The 20,876-nt window shown below is 38.1% G+C and overlaps 1 protein-coding gene and 1 long non-coding RNA gene across 2 annotated transcripts; one reads left to right on the top strand and one right to left on the bottom strand.

Annotated features, from left to right (window-relative positions):
• Nucleotides 1-3,227: 3,227 nt before the first annotated feature.
• LOC124902622 (uncharacterized) lies at nt 3,228-11,290 on the bottom strand. The gene is made up of 3 exons (XR_007062565.1): nt 11,182-11,290; nt 9,505-9,589; nt 3,228-3,978 (listed from the first exon to the last, which is right to left on the bottom strand). It is a non-coding gene; the product is annotated as an uncharacterized LOC124902622 (long non-coding RNA).
• On the top strand, nt 6,925-8,076 carry OR56B4 (olfactory receptor family 56 subfamily B member 4). The gene has a single exon (NM_001005181.2). The coding sequence runs from the start codon at nt 7,020-7,022 to the stop codon at nt 7,977-7,979; it is 960 nt and encodes a 319-aa protein (NP_001005181.1). The 5' UTR covers nt 6,925-7,019; the 3' UTR covers nt 7,980-8,076.
• Nucleotides 11,291-20,876: the final 9,586 nt, after the last annotated feature.

Consider the following 20,876-nt stretch of genomic DNA (forward strand, 5'->3'; position numbering starts at 1 on the left):
CTCCTGCCTCATGGAGTCTGACACAGAGGAAGAGCTCTATAAATACTGAAGGAATGGTGAAAGCAGGAGATCCTGCCACTTAAATCACACATTTGAGACTCCCGAAAATAGTTATTGATTTCATCAATGCCCAATTAAAAAAAAAATTAAGAACTAGAAATAAACATCAAATCACCTAAATAAATAAAAACGTTTACCAGAAAAGGACTAGCCAGTGCCGTAGGAGAGAGAGCTCTAGAGAGGGTTTAAAGTTCAGAGCTAGAATAGATGTTGACTATCACCATTTCTTTTGTATAGTTTTGAAAATTCTAAATATTGTAATAATATGCAAAATAAAAATAAAAGTGTACATTATTCAAAACTATCGTAATGATAGGTAATACATTTTTCTTCCAAAAACAGAAAATTTGCAAGAGACAATAATTTAATAAAAAGCTGCTAGCTTTGGAAAGTACTACTGTAAAATAACTGTATTTTGGAAAACATTTCCTTAAAATTATAATAATCAGGTTTCTTAGGTAACAATAGCCAATTAGAAAGTATAATGGAGGGAGAAGGTAACAATAATGGAAAAAAAAATCCAAAAATACCTATGACAGAAAGGAAAAACATAATACTTCTGAATGGAAAGAATCAATGAGATAATGACATCACTTCTTCCATAATTGATTTACATGTTTTAATATAATACTCAAAAAATTACAACCAGTTTTTTATTAATTTTTAAAAAGTTATTTGAAGTTAGTAATAAGAATCTCTTCTACAAAATAGCAAATAAACTAATTCAATTGGTACATGCACTAAAACCAGAAAAGATTGTGCAGGCAGGCAGTGATCTTTGAATATATTTTAAAATTTAATATATGACAAAAAAAGGGCATTGCAAACTAATGGGGAAGAGAGGGGTTATTTACTGAATGGTACTGGAACAATGGTCTAGTTATTTGCGGGGGAATATTAATTTAGAGACTTTCTCGCTTTATCAGTTAAAAATTATTTTTTTAATAAATTTTTATAAAGAAAATGCAAACAAATGGTTATTGAAATACTGAATTTGGCAGGGTGTGTTGGCCCACGCCTGTAATCCCAACACTTTGGGAGATCCCAGCACTTTTGAAGACCGAGGCAGGCGGATCCTGAGGTCAAGAGATCGAGACAATCCTGGCCAACATAGTGAAACCCTCTCTCTACTAAAAATACAAAAATTAGCTGGGCGTGGTGCTGCACGCCTGTTGTCCCAGCTACTTCGGAGGCTGAGGCAGGAGAATTGCTTAAACCCGGGATCAGAGGTTGCAGTGAGCTGAGATCATGCCACTGCTCTCCAGCCTGGGCAACAGAGCAAGACTGTTTCAAAAAAAAAAAAAAACAAAAACAAAACTGAGTTTACATTATTAAAAGCTTACTAGTCATGAAATAATTAATTTTAAAAGTGCAAATGTTAGGACTACATAAAAGTTTAAATGTAGCCTGGTGCAGTGGCTCATGTCTGTAGTCCCAGCTTTTTGGGAGGCCAAGACGGGCAGATCACTTGAGCCCAGGAGTTTGAGACCAGCCTGAGCAATATGGTGAAACATCATCTCTACAGAAAAATACAAAAATTAGCCAAGCCTGGTGGTTCACGCCTGTAGTCCCAGCTACTCAGGAGGCTGAGGTGGGAAGATTGCTTGGGCCCATGAGGTCAAGGCTGCAGTGAGCCGTGATCATGCCACTGCACTCCAGCCTGAGTGAAATAGACCCTGTCTTTAAAAAAAAAAAAAAAAAATTAAATGTTTGCATGTGCATAATACATTTTTAAAGGATAAATAGAATTTAACAGAAAATGAATTGGAGGAAAATTTCCCAGAAAATTCAACAGATAGAGGTAATATCCTTATGAGACGAATATAGGCCAATTGCACTGCTACTTACAAGCTTTTGGCTATAAATTTGATTGGGAAGGATACCAAGTGGTCTGGAAATGCTCTGAATTTTACTTTTTCTACTCCCGATTAATCAGGAGTTGACAATGCCATGAGCACGACTATCTGCATGATTGAGGAGCATGTACTGTGTCTGTAGGGTAAGGTGGGAAGACAGGTTTGTGGAGTGGCACCAACAGGACTGATTGTGTGTGGGCTGCCCCACATTTCTTCGGGGGATGCTTATGTGAGAGTGGGCCTGGTGAAAGAGTTACCAAGCCACCCACACCCCTAACACTGTCCTAGATGGGAGACGAGAACGGACCGGCTTCTCCCCATGCTGTACACCTCTAGAGGAGCCCTAGGGCCAGACCAGGTTAGGTACACAATCTTTTCAAATTTTGTATGGTTGCCAGCTTATTTCTTTCACTTGTTTACTGTAATATCTGATGTTTTTTATAATTTTGTATTTAGTTATAACCATGGGAGGGGTAGTGAATAACAAGATAATACTGTGAATCTCCCTCCTTCATCCCCTCTAACTTCTTTTCTCTTCATTTTTCCCCCTAGCCTCTTGCATCCCTTTCTTTTCTACTTTGTCCTACAACTATCATATGAACAGCCTTCTCTCTTTGTGTGTGACTGTTATAAAATTTCAGTTTTCAAAATTAAATTCAGGTGTCTGCTCAAATGAGGGGAGTTGTTTTTTTTTTTAATGCTCAGCAGAGTACTTTTCTTTTTGTTTCCCCCACAAACCCATCAGTCTGGGAGAGCATTGGAAGAAGAAATCATGCTGCTTGGGATGCTATATTATATAAAATGTATGTAAATGTCTCTTCATTTGGGCTGGGGTTTGCATTGTACCCTTGGCTGTTAACCAAAGGGAGAGGCCAGTGGGCAAGCGGACCTCACCCTGCCTAGCAGTGACAGAGACCCCAGCCACTCTGTGTGGGCAGGGTGCTGTCAAGACCAAATTTCCAGGGGGAGGTCAGGGCAAAGGAGGTGGGGGGAACTTTTGGGAGTGAAGAAGTAGCTCTTTTTTCTCATGTGGAGTGTTTACACATTGCTGTAACATTTGAACTTTCTGAGATGTAATAATTTTGATAATAAAATTCTTAACCATAATAATCTTTAAAAAGAAGTCATATTCTCAAGATATAGTGAAACTCATACATATTAATAAGGTTGTGCTGCCAGACTCCATGGTAAGCACTTTACTATTTTTATTTTTATTGTTAATATTTTAATAGTTTTGGGGGAACTGGTGGTGTTTGGTTACATGGATAAGTTCTTTAGTGGTAATTTCTGAGATTTTGGTGCATCCATCACCCAAGTAGTATATACTGCAATGGTAAGCACTTTAAAAACATTATTTTCTTTAGTACTACAAGACAAATTGGATAAATAACAAATAGACAATAAGATAAAATAGAAAATTAATGAGTAAGCTTATAAATGGAAAATGAGTGCTTGAAAATTAAAATTTACTAAACAATGAAGTGAACACTAAAACAAAATTGATATATCAATTTTCATTCTATTATATTAATAGAATAATTAATAAATATTTTAAATTAAAATTCCCAGTTTTGGCATGGACATGATGAAACAGACACACTCATGAACAAATTCTGTGTGTGTAAAGTACTACAATGTACCTATTTTAGTATACATCATTTTAGTATACATCAAGAGCATTCAAAATCCCCATACTTTCATACAGGGTCAGAATAACCTCTTTAAAAGACAATTTGTCTTGTCAAATCAATATCGTTTCATTCCATTTGACCCAGCAGTTCAGTTCTTGGAAATTATTATGTGGAGAAACTTATACATATGCATAAAGATACAAGAAAAAGTACATTCACAGCTTCATTTTTTATAGTAGAAAATGCTGGAAACAGATTAAAAGCCCAACAAATATACAACCTACAGAATCTTTAAGAAAGTGAGCTTACATTTACTTTTTATGGGTGGATTTTTCCGTGGGCCAACTGACACCTATTGGAGGAAGAAACATGTCTGATAACTTTTTGATGTTTTCTTGCAAACTTCCTTCTGTTTCAAACTCACATGTTTACTGAAAGAAAAACAATTTATGAGGAGAGAAAGGGAGAAAATATTTGCAAAATCTCTGACAAGGGATTAATAACCAGAATATATATGAAACTCACTAGAAAAAAACAGATAATCCAACTAAAAAGGAAGCAGAGGCTGGGTGCGGTGGCTCACGCCTGTAATTCCAGCACTTTGGGAAGCCGAGGCGGGTGGATCACTAGGTCAGGAGATTGAGACCATTCTGGCTAACAGAGTGAAACCCAAAATACAAAAAATTAGCCAAGCATGGTGGTGGGCGCCTGTAGTCCCAGCTACTGGGGAGGCTGAGGCCAGAGGCAGAGCTTGCAGTGAGCCCAGATTGTGCCACTGCACTCCAGCCTGGGCGACAGAGCAAGACTCCGTCTCAAAAAAAAAAAAAAAAAAAAAAGCAGAATATCTGAACAGATATGTCAAAAGAAGACATACAAATGGTGAATAGCTATATTAAAAACTGCTCAACATCACTAATCATTGGGGAAATGAAAATCGAAACCACAAGAGATATCATCTCATTCCAGTTAGAATGGCTATTATCAAAAATATGAAAGTGCAAGCAAAGGTGCAGAGAAAGGGGAATGTTTGTACACTGTTGGTGGGATTGTAAAGTAGTACAGCCATTATGGAAAACAATATGGAGGTTCGTCAAAAAAACTAAAAAGAGAACTACCATATGGTACAGCAACTTCACTGCTGGGTTTATATCCAAAAGAAAGGAAATCAGTAAATAGAAGAGATATCTGCACTGTCATGTTTATTGCAGCACTATTCACAATAGCGAACATATGGAATCAACCTAAGTGTTCATGAATGGATGAATGGATAAAGAAAATATGAGATATATAGAGAGAGATATATATAGATACATACACACTATATATACACACACTGTATATAGTATAGAGAGTGTATATATATATCCAATGTGATACGCACACACACACACAGTGGCCTATTATTCAGCCACAAAAAGGAATAAAATCCTGTCATTTGCAGAAACATGAATGGAACTGGAGGTTATTGTGTTAAGTGAAATAAATCAAGTAGAGAAAGACAAATATTACATGTTCCTACACATGTTTGGGAGCTTAAAAAGTGGATCTCAGCTGGGCACGGTGGCTCACGCCTGTAATCCCAGCACTTTGGGAGGCCAAGGCAGGCAGATCACCTGAGGTCAGGAGTTTGAGACCAGCCTCGCCAACATGGTGAAACCCCATCTCTACTAAAAATACAAAAATTAGCCGGGTGTGGTGGCACACACCTGTAATCCCAGCTACTCGGGAGGCTGAGGCAGGAGAATCGCTTGAACCTGGGAGGTGGAGTTTGCAGTGAGCCGGAAAAAGAAAAAAAGTGGATCTCACAGAAGTAATGAATAGAATGGTGGTTACCAGAGGCCGGAAAGGGTGGGGGTAGGGGAAGAATAGAGGGTGGCTGATGGGGACAAAAATACAGTTAGGTGGAAGAAATAAGTTCTAGTATTCAATAGCACAGTAGGAAAATTATAGTTAATAATTTACTGTATGTTTCAAAATCGCTAAAAGAGAATTGCAATGTTCCTAACACAAAGAAAAGATAAATGCTTGAGGTGATGGATATCCTAATTACACTGATTCGATCATTACACATTGTATACATGTATCAAAATATCACATGTACCTCCAAAATATCTACAAATATGATATATCAATTCTAAAAATACAAAAAAAAATCATTAAACTATAGGGCATCTAGGTGGTAGAAAATAATGCAACTTAACTGCAGTATGGAAATATGGAGCAGTCTTCAAAATATTAAGTTAAAAAAGAAAAGGAAAGAAAAAAGGAGAAAGGTGTGCTAACAATTGATTATGTCTTTTATGAAAATTATATATATATATATATATATATATATATGTTTTTATCCATGCATAAACTATTAATGGAAGGATTCCCAAGAAACATATTACTGGCTGCCTCTAGTGAAAAGGAAAAAGATTTCAAAGCCCCAAGCATGAGAGTCTTACTTTTCATTGTTTATATTTTTCATTTTATTTTGATTTTTACCATGTATAGATAATATATCTTAAAATAAAATCAAAATTATATTTAAAATTTTAAGACTATTATATCCTTTGTATATATAATTTTTGCATCACTTTTGAAACTCTACTCAAGGAAAACAATATTAAAAGCAAAATACCTGTCAGTAAATTATAGAATAGCCAAATGCAAAAATTTAAAGCAGCAATTAAAATTAACATCACACTTTTTAAATAATATTGTGAAGTCTTTGGTTAATGTATTCATCCATGAAATAAAATTTTTGAGTGCTTATATTACATCTTAACACATACTGCTAAAAGACAAAAACAAGATACAAAATCATCTCTAGATAATGATGTAGACTGTTTAAAAATAAAATAGAAAATTGGAAATAAATCAAATACTAACATTTGTTATCTGTTAGTGATAAGACTGTTGTTAATATATGTGGACATGCTTATTAGACATACAAGTGGTGATGAAAAATAGTTATTCCAACTCTTCTGTTTAGAATTTTTTTGCTTTTTTTGTTATTCCTCTGTGGAATATTTCCAGAAGTCAAATAAAGTTGAGGGTCATTCATGAATAAAAGGAGCTGGTTCATTATTGAGGAGCTCTTACCAAGACACTTAACTTTTTGTTTTGTTTTGTTTTTTAAGACAGGGTCTCACTCTGTTGTCCAGGCTGGGGTGCAGTGGCACAATCTCGGCTCACGGCAACCTCCGCCTCCCAGGTTCAATGATTCTCATGCCTCAGCCTCCCAAGTAGCTGGGATTACAGACAGGCACCACCACACCCAGCTAATTTTTGTATTCTCCGCAGAGATGAGATTTTGCCATGTTAGCCAGGTCAGTCTCGAGCTCCTGACCTCAAATTATCTGCCTGTCTCAGCCTCCCAAAGTGCTGGGATTACAGGCATGAACCACGATGCTCAGCCCCTTAGCTGAACTTTTAAACAGAGATTTCTTCTATTTCAGACAGACACTGAGACTGAGGCACCCATTCCATGGATACCTCCACCAGTGTTACCTATGACTCCAGCCTCCAGATTTCCCAGTTCATCCTGATGGGATTACCAGGCATTCATGAGTGGCAGCACTGGCTCTCCCTGCCCCTGACTCTGCTCTACCTCTTAGCTCTTGGTGCCAATCTCCTCATCATAATCACCATTCAACATGAGACCGTGCTACATGAACCCATGTACCATTTGCTGGGCATATTAGCAGTGGTGGACATTGGCCTGGCCACCACCATCATGCCCAAGATCCTGGCCATCTTCTGGTTTGATGCCAAGGCCATTAGCCTCCCCATGTGTTTTGCTCAGATCTATGCCATCCACTGCTTCTTCTGCATAGAGTCAGGCATCTTTCTCTGCATGGCAGTAGACAGATACATAGCCATCTGTCGCCCTCTTCAGTACCCCTCCATAGTCACTAAAGCTTTTGTCTTCAAAGCCACAGGGTTCATCATGCTCAGGAATGGCCTGTTGACCATCCCAGTGCCTATACTGGCTGCCCAGAGACACTACTGTTCCAGGAATGAAATCGAGCACTGCCTCTGCTCTAACTTGGGGGTTATCAGCCTGGCTTGTGATGACATCACTGTGAACAAATTTTACCAACTGATGCTAGCATGGGTCTTGGTTGGGAGTGATATGGCTCTGGTATTTTCTTCCTATGCTGTAATCCTTCACTCTGTGCTGAGGCTGAACTCAGCAGAAGCAATGTCCAAGGCTCTGAGCACTTGTAGCTCCCACCTCATCCTCATCCTCTTCCACACAGGTATCATTGTGCTGTCTGTCACACACCTTGCAGAGAAAAAGATTCCCCTTATTCCTGTGTTCCTTAATGTGCTGCACAATGTCATCCCCCCTGCACTCAACCCCCTGGCCTGTGCACTCAGGATGCACAAACTCAGACTGGGCTTTCAGAGACTGCTTGGACTGGGTCAGGACGTGTCCAAGTAACTCCAGCTTTAGGAATCCAGTAAGATGTTAGGAAATGACAGAGGTTTTAGTTCTCAATAGATCAGGGTTATAATCTGCACTTACCACACTCCCTAGGAAAAAAATGGCCAATAAAATCATGAAAACTGTCAGCCTCACTAATCAAAATATGTATATTAAAATTACAAGAAAATTTCCTATTACCTGGAAAATAAGTAAGAACAAAAAAGTGAAATGTTTCTAACTATTACTGCTAGCCTACCCCGAGATTAACACTTTCCTACACAACTGGTAGGACTATAAACACACCAAAAAGCAATTTGGTAAAATTTATCAAAATGTTTATAAATGTTTAAATGTTCTTAACCAGTAATTCTATTTTAGAAAAATATCCAAAAGAAATAGTCTAAATGCAGTCAAAAAGTTATTCATAAAAATCATTATAATATGACTAATAATAGAAAACAAAGCCTTTAATATTTACACATATTTAACTCTTACATATTTATGTGCTTTTCATATGTAATTTTTATAATAAAAAGTAAACAATAAATGTTTATTAAAAAGGAGTAAAGTTTAATTTTCGTACCCAAAAAAATCTCAATAATTAATGAATTAATGGTTAACAAGTGTTAAATACTTCTTGTAGGCCAGAAACTTTGATAAAATATGTATGTAGATTATCTGACTCAATTCTCACAATAACCCTTTGGGCAGGTACAATATTATTCCCAATTTCCAGCTAAGAAAACTCAGGCACTGGAAATTATAGAACTTGCCCCCTGACAGCACAGTTTCTAAGTGGGAGAGCTGGGATTCAAGTCCTGGGAAGTCTGATTGAAAAACCATAGCACTATTCTTACTCTCAGTCTTGCTCTGTTCCAAAATTTCTGTGTGAACTTGAACAACTTATGAAACCTCCCTATGTTTCAATTCTTCTGATTAAAAGTGACAAAAATCATAACATTTTGCTGAGCCAAATCGCAAACATGCTGTGACAATCAAAAGAGATAAAGAATACATGCTTTGAAATAAGATATACACATGGAAATATAAATCTAACTATGTGGCAGTTTTCTTGCTAGGAAAGGAAGAAAATGGATCCTAGAAAATGCCCTATAAAAATAGTTTCAAATAACCTGTTAATTAAAGCTAACTGAATTTTTGCTGTTTGCTCACCTAAAAAAATTGCACACTTTTTGAGTACAAGAACCATTCATGTGTACTTTCAATGAGCCTCAGTCAGAACATTGCACACAGTAGGTGCTTAATTCATTATATAATCAGGGAGCATTATAGATCTGTTGAATTATGTGTATCAAAGAAAATACCTGGACCATGGTCTGAATAATGACCTCAGGAAGTTTGCACATGAGTCCACCTTGGAAAACAACTTCTTAGGAAATAGCACAAGGACTAAAGCAACATCAGAAACCATCAGCTCATCTCACCAGAGTAATGCATGCTGGGCAGCATAACAGAGCTGCAGGGGGAAGTCATCTGTGTGCGGGACAGGACTTCTTAAGAGTTATGCTTGGAAACTTACCCAAAAAGAGACTATCAACTTCCTCCAAAAGAATTGGCTGCTTCATTCTTTCTTGACAGTGATTCAAATGGAAGCAACTGATCATCTAATAAGAGGAGGCAAGAGAGAGACAATTACAGAAAGGATTTTAACTTAACTCAACCTCCCATGGTTTGTTACCCTGAAGGATCAGAGTAATAACATCTAATCCTGCAGAGTTCTTCACAGTTTGCAAAATACTTTCCCACAGTGGATTGAGTAATTTCACATAATTTTCATAGCAGTCCTCTTAATTAGGAAGCTGTTAAAGGATTACTATTAATTCTTTTCTACAAAGAAATAGGGGCTAAGTTTGGGTAATTATATAAATTCACCCACTGGGAAGTGGCAGTACTGAGGCTCAGGCAGTTTAGCTGTCTCTGGTAGATGGCAATAGTGTGCCATCCTCAAAGCTGCCTTTAAACTTTCATTCATACATACCTTTATTTATTTATTTGTTTATTTATTCATTCATTCAAAAATACATAGCATGAGTCTATGCACAGCAGCCCAAATTGTAGGCCACTCTCAACAACTTCTGTGGACATGTGTCTCAGTTCTTCTGAAAATAAATAAACACCTAACATTCATCTTGGAGTCAGGAAGATTTATGCAATTAATTATTCTCTCCTCTATATGTGCCATGAGGATAAAAAAAGATTGTGCATTGTTTTATTTTTATGAATTATTTATGTTTGTCATGTATTTCATATTTGCCCATATGCTTTGCTTTATATGATTTTAATACTGTCATACTATATTTGCCTGTTTGTCTTCTCTCATTCACTTCTTTCCATATTCCTTTGATATTTTAACTTTAGTCTGTCTTTTGGAAACACCGTTAGTTTGATCTTTATTTTTAACCATATTTGAGGAACTTTCCCTTTAAATAGGGGAACTAAGTCCATTCATATTTGTTATAATTCCTATGATTTTGTTTTGTTTCACCCTGTCATCTTATTTATTTTTATTATGTTTTCTGGCAGATTTCTCCTACTCCTGACTTTTGCTGAACTGATCTCTTTCACACATCTCCCCACATCCCCATTTCATTGATCTGCACATTTTATTAAATATATCTATTTGACAGGTTGTTGTATGCATAACTTTATTAACACATTCAAACTTATACTTTTTTATTAATATGCCCAAATTACATAATAGTTATGCAGTATTTTCTCATTCCAATTCCAAGCTCAAGATAAGAACTTTATCATTTTTATGTCTCTTTTATTCTCTGTTGAACATCTCACTGAATATGGCACATTCCAAAGACAAGCATAATAATAGCTCCCACCTCACATGCTCTTTTGCAGTGAAACATTAACAATTCCGTATCAAGAAATTGAACTTAGTTCCCCTTCTCCTTGAATCTGAGCCTCACTGATTCACTTTTAACCAAGAGAATGTGACAGAAGTCCAAAAAAAGCCATTCAGCATCCACTTGTGTCTCCTGGAAAATTTGCTCCCTGGTTGCTCCCTGGAGGATGCTCCCTGTCAGAATCCAGCTGTCACGTGATGAGAAGTCTAAACCACATGACAAGGCCAAGTATGGGGACTCTAGTCAACAGCCCCAGCTGAGCCCAGCCTTGGAATCATGCTAGCCCAGGAAGTCTAACATGTGAGTGAAGATGTCTTCAACAGATTCCAGTCACTAACCATTTGATCACCTCCAGCTGTCTGAGTCTTCTGAGCCAAGGCTGCATATTTGTGAAGTAGAAGTATGCCATCATCACGGCACTGCTCTTAAATTCCTGACACAGAGAATCTGTGAGCATGATAAAATAAGTGTTGTTTGATACCACTATCTTTAGGGTGATCTGTTAAAAAGCATAGATAACTAGAACACTGGATTTTACTAAAATAATTTGGAATTTTAGTTCTAAGTCATAATTACTTTTTAAAGCATGTCGCTTCCAATTCAAAAATGTCTTAGAATTTTTAATATTCACAACTACATTATCAAAATTTATTTCTATTTGACTGTGAAGCTTTACTAAATTCATTGTTCATAGCAATTTCTAGTATGCTTCATTCTTCCAATATATTATTTGGTGTCCAATCAGGAGAGAGAAACCACATGAATTTCAACAGGAGAAAGTTAATATAAATAATTTTTAATTATAACAAGGGATTGGAGTATCAAGAGATTGACTAGTAAGTAGAGAAAACGCTAAAGAATATAAGAATAGTAGATGCAGGGAGGAGCCATTGTCACTACAGATGAGAGAGACTACCTAAGATAAAGGACCCCTGGGCTGAGATCCAGACCTTATTGGAGAGGATACAGAATGGAGAGAAAATGCAATCATGCTGTGCTCATGAAACTTGCTGAAAATCTACATTCTAGGATGCTAGGGAAAGTTGTTCATAAGGAGATAGCTCACCAGAGACCCTCTGCTATAAAATCACCCCCAGGAAGCTACTGGGGGGAAGCTGCTGGCCACTGGATGCTGCTGACTGCCATGTACTGCAGGAACTGGGTATTGGAGAAACTGTACATGCTGCAGCTAAGCCTGACAGGCAAGCACATCAGAACCAGGAAATAAAATCCTCTCTAGTGACTTTAGTGAGAATAGTGAATTAAGAAATTCCAAGAGCCTGCCCCTCCACCAAACTAACAAATAAACAGGCACAAATTGTTAGAATGAACTTTAATGGAACTGGTCAAAGGTCTGCATCAATGAGGTGAACACTTGATCAAAAAAAAGATGACAATCTCAGTAGGAGACCTCTGTGGCATTCTAACTCACTCTGGCTCTGTTCCTTCTTCTCCAGTTTGGTGGTAGTCTTCAGAACAGCATCCCATGTTTCCTATGTGGGTTCACGGTACCAGAAGGAGCAGAGGAGACCTGTTCTCTAAGAATTATTGGTGTTTTGACCCATCTGATGGTTCACTGAAGGACAGGTGCAAAGAGCTTGCCTTTATTTTGCCTAACTCAGAATCTCTCAGGATAGAATGGCAGCTGTCTAGGGGCCTTGTCAAAAACAGCTGGTGAATGTGTTAGCCTCTGCCACCAGAGAGAAGGAATAACAGTCAGGAAATAACAGACACACTTAAAAGCTTGGACTGCTTATAATATTTAAGAGGTTAACTTTTTAACAAAAACTATGAGGCATGCAAAAAAAAAAAAAGAAAGTATAGCCAATACACAGGGGTTAAAAAAAAATAGAAACTGTCTGAGGAAGCCCAAGTATTAGGATTTACTAGACAAAAACTTCAAATCAAATGTATTTACTCAGTGAGCTAAAGGAAACCTTGGACAAAGAACTAAAGCAAACCAGGAAGGAGAACAATGTCCCACCAAACAGAGCATGTTAATAAGGAGAGAGAAATTATAAAAAGAAACAAAATAAAAATACTGGAATTGAAGTGTGCTTTTCTATATATCTAAGAGCTCAACAAATTCCAATTAGGATAAACTCAAAGAGATGTACATTGAGACATATTACAATCTAACTTTAGAAAGACAAAAACACAAAAATAAAAAGAAAAAAAAGAAAAATTTAAAAAGAAAGACAAAAACAAAGACAGATACCCAAAAGCAGCAGGAGAGAAACAACTTATTACATAAAAGAGATTCTCAGTATGATTAACAGCTGCCTTATCATCAGGAACCGTAGAGGCTAGAAGTTAGTGGGGTGATGTACTAAAATTGCTGGGAAAAGAAAAGGTCAACCAATGTTTCTATATCCAGCAAAACTATGCGCAAGAGTAAAGGAAAAAATAAGACATTCCCAGTGGCACAAAAACAAAAAAAAAAGAGAGAGTCCATAGCTAGTAGAGCTACCCTACAAAAAATGTTAATGGGAATCCTTCAGAATGAAATGGAAGGACACAATCGTAACTCAAATTTGCTTAAAGAAATAAAGAACGTAATATATTTATGTTATTTAAAAGATAATTACATAAACAAAATTATAAATATATGTTAATGGGCACACAATGTATAAAGATGTAATTTGTGATAATCACAAGATAAAGGGAAACAGCTAGACAGAAACAAAGTTCTTGTATACAGTCAGCCCTCTGTATCCATGGGTTCTATATATGTGGATTCAACAAACTATAGATTTAAAATATTTTAAAAAATAATGATTTTTTTACAGAGGGCAGAACTGAATAATTGAGAATGAAAAACATCTAAAACATGAAACAACAAGTAGCAAAATGACAGAAGTCCTTCCTTATCAGTAATTACTTCAGGTGTAAATAGATTAAACTGTCCAATTAAAAGGTATAAATGGCTAAAATGGATTAAAGGAAACATAATAGGTTATCTACAAGAGACTCACATTAAAATAAAAAACAAATACTTCGAAATGGAAAGGGTGGGAAAAGATATTCTATGCAAATAGTGAGCAAAAGAAAGCTATCCTATATTATACTAGAATACAATATATGAGTATACAGTAGTCCCCCTTTATCCGTGGTTTTACATTACATGGTTTCAGTTAACTGCATTCAACCATGATCTTAAAATATTAAATTAAAACATCCAGAAATAAACAATTCATAAGTTTGTCATTGCATACCACTTTGAGTAGCATGATGAAATCTCACACCACTCTATTTCACTCAGGACATGAATCTTCCCTTTGTCCAGGATATCCACACTGTATATCCACACTGCTATCCACCCATTAGTCACTTAGTAATCCTCTAGAGTATCAGATCAAATGTCACATATAGTGTACATAGGTTTTGGTACTATTTGTGGTTTCAGGCATTCATTCACTCGGAATCTTAGAGCATATCCCCCATAGATAAGTATATATAGCTAGACTAATATGTGACAAAACAGATTTTTTAAAACTGTTATGAGAGATGAAGAACAATATTATATAATGATAAAAGGCAAAAAGGCAAATCTGTCAAGCAACTTCAACAATTATACATATATATGCACCAAAAAACAGAGCCCCTAAATAAATAAAGCAAAAACTGATAGAATTGAAGGAAGACATAGACCAACTAAACCTAATAGGCATATATAGAACACTCTAACCCAACAACAGAATACACATTATTCTCAAGAGCATTTGTAACATTCTCCAAGGTAGACCATATGCTAGGCCATGATAAGATTCAATAAATTTTAAAACATTGAAATCATGGGGAAGATGCCAAGATGGCCAACTAGAAAGAGCCGCAGTAGAAAGCTCCCACCAAGAAGAACAAAAATGGTGAGTGAATCCTGCACTGGCAACTGAGGTATCCAGATTCTCTCACTGGGAGTGACTAGGCAGTTGGTGCAACCCACAGAGAGTGAGAAAAAGAAGGGTGGTGCAATGGTCCACCTGGGAGCCACACAGGGCAGGGGGAGCTTCCACCCCCAGCCAAGGAAGGCAGTGAGTGATTGAGCTACTCTGCTCGGGAAACCATGCTTTTTCCATAGATCAATGTAACCTGCATATCAGATCTCCCTCATGAGCCCATGCCACCGGGGCCTTGGGTCACAAGCACAGAGCCGTGCAGATTCTCTGTGGCCACTTGGCTAAAGACTGCCTAAGATTACCTAGTTCCTGGGGGAAGGGGCAGCCACCATCACTGCAGCTGCCTGCTGCCTAAGATGAGTGAGCTCCCAAGGGAAGGAGTGGCAGCCATCACTGCAGCTCCAGTCTGGCATTTTTCCCCTGCCAGTGCCAGGGAGATTGGATGGTTTGGACCCAGGATGAATTCCCCACAGTGCAACACAAAGGCTGTGGCAAATCATGACCAGACTGCCTCTTTAGGCCAGACCCTGAACCATCCCGGGCAAGGTCTTCCTAAGGGAATTTCAACAACTCCAGCCAGGAGTTTATGGACAGAACTCTGATCTCCCTAGTACAAAGCCCCTGGGGGGAGGGGTGGCCATCCCCATGGATCAGCAGACTTAATTTTTCCCCCTGCTGGCTCTGAGAAATCTGGGGAGTCTGGACAAGTGGGATTCCCCCCATCACAGTGCACCCCTTCCACCAAGGGGTAGCCAGAGTGCTTTGTAAAGTGGGTCCCAGATCTCATGTCTCCTGACTGGATAAGACCCTAACAGGGGTCACCAGACACCTTATACAGGAGCGTTCCCACTGGCATCACGGAGATCCCAGAGGAAGAAGCAGGCAGCCATCTTTGCTGTTCTACAGTCTCCACTGGTGACACCTCCAGGGATGGGAGGGACCCAGGTAAATAGGGTCTGGAGTGGACCCCTGGAAAACCACAGCAGCCCTACAGAAGAGGGGCCTGATTGTAAAAAGAAAAACAAACAGAAAGCAACAACAACAGCATCAACAAAAAAGTTCCCACAAAAACCCCATCCAAAGGTTAGCAGCCTCAAAGATCAAAGCTAGATAAACTCACAAAGATGAGAAAGAGTCAATGAAAAAATGCTGAAAACTCAAAAAGCCAGAGTGCCTCTTCTTCTCCAAATGATCACAACACCTCTTCAGCAAGGGCACAGAACTGGGCTGAGGCTGACATGGATGAATTGACAGAAATAGGCTTCAGAAGGTAGGTAATAACTAACTCCACTGAGTTAAAGGAGCATGTTCTAACCCAATGCAAATAAGCTAAGAACCACAATAAAACATTATAGGAGCTGTTAACCAGAATAACCAGTTTAGAGAGGAACATAAATGACCTGATGGAGCTGAAAATGAGAACACAACATGAGAACTTCACAATGCAACTGCAAGTACCAATAGCCAAATAAACCAAGCGGAGGAAGAAATTTCAGTGCTTGAAGACTGTCTTGCTGAAATAAGACAGAAAGATAAGATTAGAGAAAAAAGAATAAAAAGGAATGAACAAAGTCTACAAGAACTATGGGATTATATAAAAAAGACTGGACCTACGGCTGATTGGGGTACCTGAAGGAGATGGGGAGAATGGAAACAAGCTGAAAAACATACTTCAGGATATCATCCAGGAGAAATTCCCTAACCTAGCAAGACAGGCCAACATTCAAATTCAGGAAATCCAGAGAACCCCAGTTAGATATTCCATGAGAAAATCAACCCCAAGACACATAATCATCAGATTCTCTAAGGTTGAAATGAAGGAAAAAATGTTAAGGGGAGCCAGAGAGGAAGGCCAGGTCACCTAAAGGAAAGTCCATCAGACTAACAGTGGACCTCTCAGTGGAAAACCTATAAGCCAGAAGAGACTGGGGGCCAATATTCAATATTATTAAATAAAAGAATTTCCAATCCAGAATTTCATATCCAGTCAAACTAAGCTTCACAAGCAAAGGAGAAATAAAATCCTTTTCAGACAAGCAAATGTTGAGGGAATCTGTCACCACTGGGTTTACCTTGAATGAGCCCCTGAAGGAAACACTATGCAAAAGAAAAACCCTTACCAGCCACTACAAAAACACACTGAAGTAAAGAGACCATTGACACTATGAAGCAACTACATCAACAAATCTACAAAATAATCAGCTAGCATCATGATGACAAGATCAAATTTACACACAACAATATTATCCTTAAATATGAATGGGCTAAATGCCCCAATTAAAAGAGACAGAAGACAAGCTGAATAAAAAGCCAAGACCCGTTGGTGTACTATATTGAAGAGACTTGTCTCACATGCAAAGACACACACAGTCTCAAAATGAATAGAAGGAGGAAAATTTACCAAGCAAGCAGAAAGCAGAAAAAAGCAGGGGTTGCAATCCTTGTTTCTGACAGAACAGACTTTAAAGCAACAAAGATCAAAAAAGACAAAGAAGGGCATTACATAATGGTAAAGGGTTCAACAAGAAGAGCAAGAAGAGCTAACTATCCTAAATACATATGCACCAAATACAGGAGAACCCAGATTCGTAAAACAAGTTCTTAGAGACCTACAAAGAGACAGATTCCCACACAATAATAGTGGGAGACTTTAACACCCTACTGTCAATATTAGATCATTGATACAGAAAATTAACAAAGATATACAGGACTTGAACTCAGCTCTAGATCAAGTGGACCTGATAGATATCTACAAAACTTTCCACCCAAAAACAACAGAATATACATTTTCTTGGTGCCATGTGGCACTTACTCTAAAATCGATCACATAATTGCAAGTAAAATACTCCTCAGCAAATGCAAAAGAACTGAAACAATGGTCTTTCAGACCACAATGCAATCAAATTAGAACTCAAGATTAAGAAACTCATTCAAAACCACATAACTAGATGGAAATTGAACAAGTGATTGCTGAAAGACTCCTGGGTAAATAATGAAAGTAAGACAGAAATAAAGAAGTTCTTTGAAGCCAATGAGAATGAAGAGACCACATACCAAAATCTCTGGGGCACAGCTAAAGCAGTCTTAAGAGGGAAATTTGTAGCACTAAATGCCCACATCAAAAAGCTAGAAAGATCTCAAATTGACACCCTAACATCACAACTACAAGAACTAGAGAACCAAGAGCAAATAAACCCCAAAGCTAGCAGAAGACAAGAAATAACCAAAATCAAAGTGGAAATGAAGGAAATACAGACATGAAAAACATTTCAAAAAATCAATGAATCCAGGAGATGGTTTTTTGAAAAAATTAATAAAATAGATAGACTTCTAGCTAGACTAATGAAGAAAGGAGAGAAGTATCAAATAGACACAAAAAAATGATAAAGGGGATATCACCACTGACCCCACAGAAATACAAACAACCATAAAAGAATACCATAAACTCCTCTATGCAAATAAACTAGAAAATCTAGAAGAAATAGATAAATTCTTGGACACATACACCGTCCCAAAACTGAATCAGGAAGAAGTTGAATCCCTGAATAGACCAATAACAAGTTCTGAAATTGAGGCAGTAATAAATAGCCTACCAGCCAAAAGAAAGCCCAGGAGCAGATGGATTTGCATCTGAATTATACCAAAGATACAAAGAGGAGCTGGTACCATTTCTTCTGAAATTATTCCAAACAAGTGAAAAGGAGGGACTCTTCCCTAACTCATTTTATGGGGCCAGCATCACCCTAATACAAAAATCTGGCAGAGATACAACAAAAAAAAGAAAACTTCAGGCCAATATTCCTGATGAACATCCATGCAAAAATCCTCAATAAAATACTGGCAAACCAAATCCAGCAGCACATCAAAAAGCTTATCCACCATGATAAAGTCAGCTTCATCCCTGGGATGCAAGGCTGCTTCAACATATGCAAATTAATAAACGTAATTCATCACATAAACAGAACTAAAGACAAAAACCATGTGATTATCTCAATAGTTGCAAAAAAAGGCCTTTGATAAAATTCAGCATCTCTTCACATAAAAAACTCTCAATAAACTAGGTATTGATGAAACTTACCTCAAAATAATTAGAGCCATTTATGACAAACCCACAGCAAATATCATAACAAATGGGCAAAAGCTGGAAGCATTCCCCTTGAAAGCTGGCACAAGAAAGTGGGCAAAGGACATGAGCAGACACTTCTCAAAACAAGACATTTATGTGGCCAACGAACATATCACCACCGATCCCACAGAAATACAAACTACCATCAGAGAATACTACAAACACCTCTATGCAAATAAACTAGAAAATCTAGAAGAAATGGATAAATTCCTCGACACATACACTCTCCCAAGACTAAACCAGGAAGAAGTTGAATCTCTGAATAGACCTATAACAGGAGCTGAAATTGTGGCAATAATCAATAGCTTACCAACCAAAAAGAGTCCAGGACCAGATGGATTCACAGCCGAATTCTACCAGAGGTACAAGGAGGAACTGGTACCATTCCTTCTGAAACTATTCCAATCAATAGAAAAAGAGGGACTCCTCCCTAACTCATTTTATGAGGCCAACATCATTCTGATACCAAAGCCAGGCAGAGACACAACAAAAAAAGAGAATTTTAGACCAATATCCTTGATGAACATTGATGCAAAAATCCTCAGTAAAATACTGGCAAACTGAATCCAGCAGCACATCAAAAAGCTTATCCACCATGATCAAGTGGGCTTCATCCCTGGGATGCAAGGCTGGTTCAATATACACAAATCAATAAATGTAATCCAGCATATAAACAGAACCAAAGACAAAAACCACATGATTATCTCAATAGATGCAGAAAAAGCCTTTGACAAAATTCAACAACCTTCATGCTAAAAACTCTCAATAAATTAGGTATTGATGGGACATATCTCAAAATAATAAGAGCTATCTATGACAAACCCACAGCCAATATCATACTGAATGGGCAAAAACTGCAAGCATTCCCTTTAAAAACTGGCACAAGACAGGGATGCCCTCTCTCACCACCCCTATTCAACATAGTGTTGGAAGCTCTGGCCAGGGCAATTAGGCAGGAGAAGGAAATAAAGGGTATTCAATTAGGAAAAGAGGAAGTCAAATTGTCCCTGTTTGCAGACGACATGATTGTATATCTAGAAAACCCCATTGTCTCAGCCCAAAATCTCCTTAAGCTGATAAGCAACTTCAGCAAAGTCTCAGGATACAAAATCAACATACAAAAATCACAGGCATTCTTATACACCAATAACAGACAAACAGAGAGCCAAATCATGAGTGAACTCCCATTCACAATTGCTTCAAAGAGAATAAAATACCTAGGAATCCAACTTACAAGGGATGTGAAGGACCTCTTCAAGGAGAACTACAAACCACTGCTCAAGGAAATAAAAGAGGATACAAACAAATGGAAGAACATTCCATGCTCATGGGTAGGAAGAATCAATATCATGAAAATGGCCATACTGCCCAAGGTAATTTACAGATTCAATGCCATCCCCATCAAGCTACCAATGACTTTCTTCACAGAATTGGAAAAAACTACTTTAAAGTTCATATGGAACCAAAAAAGAGCCCGCATCGCCAAGGCAATCCTAAGCCAAAAGAACAAAGCTGGAGGCATCGGCCGGGCGCGGTGGCTCACGCCTGTAATCCCAGCACTTTGGGAGGCCGAGGCGGGTGGATCATGAGGTCAGGAGATCGAGACCATCCTGGCTAACAAGGTGAAACCCCGTCTCTACTAAAAATACAAAAAATTAGCCGGGCCCGGTGGCGGGCACCTGTAGTCCCAGCTACTCGGGAGGCTGAGGCAGGAGAATGGCGTGAACCCGGGAAGCGGAGCTTGCAGTGAGCCGAGATTGCGCCACTGCAGTCCGCAGTCCGGCCTGGGCGACAGAGCGAGACTCCGTCTCAAAAAAAAAAAAAAAAAAAAGCTGGAGGCATCACACTACCTGACTTCAAACTATACTACAAGGCTACGGTAACCAAAACAGCATGGTACTGGTACCAAAACAGAGATATAGATCAATGGAACAGAACAGAGCCCTCAGAAATAACGACGCATATCTACAACTATCTGATCTTTGACAAACCTGACAAAAACAAGCAATGG

The sequence above is a fragment of the Homo sapiens genome, chromosome 11 (genome assembly GCF_000001405.40).
Source record: "Homo sapiens chromosome 11, GRCh38.p14 Primary Assembly".
Lineage (NCBI taxonomy): Eukaryota > Metazoa > Chordata > Mammalia > Primates > Hominidae > Homo > Homo sapiens.

What these genes read in the sequence shown, in the direction of transcription:
- OR56B4 (NM_001005181.2), top strand. Translation starts at nt 7,020, where the DNA reads ATGGATACCTCCACCAGTGTTACCTATGACTCCAGCCTCCAGATTTCC.